General features: G+C 36.4%; 1 long non-coding RNA gene across 1 annotated transcript; it reads right to left on the bottom strand.

Moving 5' to 3' along the window:
• Window positions 1–550: 550 nt before the first annotated feature.
• On the bottom strand, window positions 551–3,404 carry LOC124905189 (uncharacterized). The gene is made up of 2 exons (XR_007068240.1): window positions 3,259–3,404; window positions 551–847 (listed from the first exon to the last, which is right to left on the bottom strand). It is a non-coding gene; the product is annotated as an uncharacterized LOC124905189 (long non-coding RNA).
• Window positions 3,405–5,169: the final 1,765 nt, after the last annotated feature.

Genomic DNA, 5,169 nt, shown 5'->3' with positions numbered 1-5,169 from the left:
TCAGATATATGTTTGTGTATTCACCTGAGCCCTGGGCCAAGTTTCCCAGATTGAGACCATGGCATCATAAAGCTGGATGCTTTATTGAGGGGATAGGGCAAGATCAAAAAGTAATCCATGCTTTTCAATATGTGAGTAAATAAATAAATGGATGAAAATGTATGCAATAATATAAAGCAGAATAATAGATATTAGATGAATACAGGGTCACCAAATTTTTCTTTAAAGGGCCTGGTAGTAAATACTTCAGTTTTTATGGGCCACATCGTTTCTGTGGCATATTGTTGTGTTTTTAAAAAATAATACTTTAAAGTGTAAAAAAAATCCTTATCTCCAAGGCTGTGCAGAAATAAGCCATGGGCTGGATTTAGCTTGCAAGCCATACCCAGCTTGTCCCTGGATTATATTTTAATTCAAATATTTCAATACTGTATTTTTGTACCAGTAGTCAAAATATTGACAAAGGAGAGCTCTACCTCCACATAAGATGCAGAAAGCCTCAACAGAAAGTCACTTTACCCCTAACAATGAGAAAAAGCCTAATAATGTATGACATTACAGTTTTTTATTAGATCGTCAGAGAGCTAACAAGTCAGCCATGTTCCCATGATATATGTTCCATGATATAAAAGGGTGACAAGTCATTCTGAGGAGAGATGAGACACACAAACTGCGTCACCTCCGGCACAGCATGTATGGAAGAAATGACAGCCATAAAAGTGGGTAAGAAGGAAACAACTGAAAATGTAACACATTCATAAAGGCCAAACACAGGCAATTGGGAGAGCTGGAATCCCTGGAAGTCTCAGACACAAGTGGAATCCATGTTCACAGACAGAATGAGATCCTGTCTCAAAAAAAAAAAAACAAAACAGTCAGAGTTTATAAGACTGGGTAAAAAAAAGCAAGAACAAATTATATACTGTTAAAAAGAACCCCAGTTAGAAATAAATAAGTTAAAAGTAAAGGATGGACCTTGCAAATATAAATCACATAAAAACTAGAGGTACTAAATTAAGACCTCACAAAGCATACTTTATAGTGGAGAGTATTACAAGGAATGAAGTGGGGCATCACACAACAATCATAGAGAGTTGCATTTATTGAGAAGGCATAAAACCATGAATATGTATGCAACTTCAAAATATATGAGAGAAAAACTGATACATCAGAAAGAAGAAATAGACACATCTGCAGTTATAATTGAAGACTTCAACATTCCTCCTAGCAATTGGTAGAAACAAAAATTCAGGAGATATATATATATATAAATACTTTAAAATGTAAAAAAAAATCCTTATCTCCAAGGCTGTGCAGAAATAAGCCATGGGCTGGAGTTAGCTTGCAAGCCATACTCAGCTTGTCCCTGGATTATATTTTAATTCAAATATTTGAATGCTGTATTTTTGTACCAGTAGTCAAAATATTGACAAAGGAGAGCTCTACCTCCACATAAGATGCAGAAAGCCTCAACAGAAAGTCACTTTAGCCCTAAAAATGAGAAAAAGCCTAATAATGTATATATATGTATATGGATATATATAGACATAGATACATATATACATATATATATATATATATATATATATATATATATATATATATATATAATATCTATATATAGAGAGAGCACTATCCACCAGCTTGGCCTAATTGATATTTTCAGAACAACAGTAGAATACCTACTCTTCTCAAGTGTAAATGGAATGTTCACCAAGACAGATGATATTCTGGGCTGAAAACCAAACCTCAACAAATTCAGAAGGAACGAAATTTTACAAAACATGTTCTGTGACCACAAAATATTTGAAATAGAAATTATTTATAGAAAGATATGTGGAATCCATGAAATATTAGAAATTAAACAATACTTTTAAGTAATTCAGAGCTCAAAGAAGAAATTACAAGGAAAATTTAAAGATAAAAACACAAAATATCAAAACTTGCAAGATGAAACTAAAACAGTGCATAGAAGGAAACTTATAGCATGAAGTACTTACACCAAAAAGGAAGAAAAGTTCCAAATCAACTATCTAAGCTTCCACATCAGGAAACTAGAAAAATAAAATGTACCCAAAGCAAGAAGAAGGAAAAATTAATTAAGATATGAGGAGAAATAAATTAAATAGAAATGAGAACTTCAATTGGAAAAAAATCAGTGAAACCAGAAGTTGTTTAGTTGAAAAGATCAGAAAAATTAATAAACTTTTAGCCAGACTGATGATAGAGAGAAAGAGAATACTAGAGGACACATCAATACAGATCCTTCAGATATTAAATGTATGATACATTATGAAAAATATTATCAAAAAAATGTATTTTTTTAATTTAATGGGAAAGTTCCTCAAAGGACCCTAGCTAACAAAACTTATTCAAAAATAAATAGATGACATATATATCTATATAAAAATAAAAGGAATTCATAAAAACAACAAATAAATAAAACAAAGATTTTTCTCAAATAAACTTCAAGTTTCTGGTGACTTCATTGGCTAATTCTGCCAAGCGTTCCACCAAACGTTTGTGGAAGAAACAATTCCATACCAGGAAAGGGAGATGGAAAAAAAATTAATGTCAATTCTACACAAACTCTTCATGAAAATTGGTGAGAGATCACACTTTCCAAAGCACTTTACAGAGCTGGCGTCAACCTGATATCGAAACCAAACATTATGAGAAAATAACATGACAGACCAATATAACTCATGAACATAGACACAAAATGTGTAATAAAAATTAGCAATATATAAAAACTAGCAATATATAAAAAATTTACATCATAGCCAAATGGAATTTATTCCATGACTTGAACATAAATGTGAGTTTAGCAAAGTAACATGCTCAAGATAAATATGCAAAAGTCAATGCTGTTTTTATATACCAGCAACAAACAATTGAAAATTAAAAATCAATATCACTTAATATAGCACCAAAAACCCCATGAAATATTTAGTGGTAAAATTTAACAAAATGTGTGCAAGACCTGACTGAAAAGCATTGCTGAGAAATATTAATGCAAGCTGAAATAAATGAAGAGACATACCATGTTAATGGATTGCAAGACTGAAGATTATCAATATATAAGTTTCTCTCAAATAATCTATACATTCAATGTAAACCCAATCAAAATCCTTGCAGCCTTTTGTTTCTATAATAGAAATTGGCAAGCTGACTTTAAAATTTATATGGAAAAGAAAAGGGAATATAATAGCCTAACAATTTTATAAAAGACAAAGAATATTGGAAGACTCTTATTACCTGATTTCAAGATGTGTATGGTAACTATGGTAATCAGGACAGTGTGATATTGGACAGTGTGAGATGGTCTCCTCTCTTCTCCTTTCAGTTGTCCTTCTCCTGATCTCATCTGTGATCCCACAACAAACAGCTGTCCCTAGCAGACTGACAACCTAGCCTGGGCCTTTTCTCCTGTGCCCCAGCCTGGGGCTGCCCTTGCCTAGGAGAAGGACACTAGTCTCAGGATACCAGAGTTATGACTACCACAGAACCATCCTGAGCATCAATGTCCCATGGCAGTGGTTGACCTTTGAAATGAAGCTTCACTGCACACCCCAGCTGGCCCTGAACCACTTTTTTTTTAATCACAGAAAGCAACACAGAGGAGGAAGGTGCCCACAATCCTTTCTCGGGAATATTGTGTCCTGCTCCATGGTGCTGTGTTATTTCCTTTGTACCGACTGCAACATTCCTATCCTTTTGATGTAAATAAGAGTTTTGAGGGTACTTCTTATGAATTCTAAAGTGGTGGCCAGAATATCATTGCCCACTTTGGGGCATTTTGGAGGGCAGCTTTGATTGTTGGAATGATTGGCGGAGTCTACTGGCATTTGGGGACTGAGTGTTACAGTGAGGCAAATGACTTTTTCCAGAGTCTTAAATAAACTGGATTTTCCATACATGTCACTCCCTGTAAACTGAGAGAGGCTTGTAAATGGTACTTCATCTGGGAACTTACAAAGACTAATTGACTGCTTTGGCAATCACATCACTGCAGAGCATTCCATTCTTGGACTCCACTCTCACACAACATACCAGTATCAGTTTGCTTTGTAGCTCCACATGCCTTGGGGAAACAATGAGGGGAATCCAACTTACCTACCAAAGGGATTGTTTCCAGGATAAGCTGTTAATTGATGGGGAAAATCAAGTGGAAGATGTTGATAGTGTGATCTCTCATGAGTTGGTGAACACACCAGCTATGCCTGTTGCTGTTATTTCACTGAACTTCTCTTTCCAAGTGTATCTCCCTCACCAGGTTTTCAGGTCATTCCTGGAAGGTTGGAATCGTATCCAGTAGATCGCTGTGTCTTCCGGATAGAACAGAGTACATGACAGGCAGAAGGAGAGCAGAGAACCCTTGTGGAATTGTAGTGATTTCTAATGGTTGGATGGCCAAACCCTGCATCACAGTGATGAGCCACACGGATGTCAGTCTGTAGAGGGTGGGAGGGGAACACCACAGCACTCTGCCTTAGAACCCATGCAGCAGAGTGAGACCAACCTGCAGTACTGATCTCTGTTATGCCCTTTAAGGGTCCCAGATGTAAGCACCCTATTGGTTCGGGCTCCTCCGTGTGTGTGTGTGTGTGTGTGTGTGTGTGTGTGTGTGTGTGTGTAGAAAGAGAGAGAGAGAAAGACAAAGAGAGAGAGAGAGATTGTTGAAATTGATGTTGAGGAACTGGCTCATGCAACTGTGGGGGCTGGCAAATCCAAATTATGTAGGGCAGGACATCATTCTGGAGACCCATGTAAGATAGCTCAAATTCACAGACAGTCTGCAGGCAGAATATTTTCTTCACTGGGGGAAACCCAGTCTTTTTTCTCTTTAAGGCCTTGAAGTTATTGGATGAGGCCAACCCACATCATGGAGTGTAATTTGCTTTACTCAAAGTCTACTGATTTTAATGTTAGTCTCATTTAAAATTACCTGCACAGAGATACCTAGTCTGGTGTTTGAACAAATACCTGTGTACTCTGGCCCAGTCAAGTTGACAAATCAAGTTTACCATCACAGCCAATTAATACAAATCCCAGTAACCATGAAGGTTTATCTTAGAAAGGCAGCTGACTTCCTACTTAAATTTTTGCATTAACCTTTTTTGCCCAACCCAAGCCACCAATTCAGGCTCAGCATAGCTCTGGCCAGTA

The sequence above is a fragment of the Homo sapiens genome, chromosome X (assembly GCF_000001405.40).
Source record: "Homo sapiens chromosome X, GRCh38.p14 Primary Assembly".
Taxonomy (NCBI): domain Eukaryota; kingdom Metazoa; phylum Chordata; class Mammalia; order Primates; family Hominidae; genus Homo; species Homo sapiens.
This window is presented reverse-complemented; position numbering and strand designations above follow the sequence as displayed.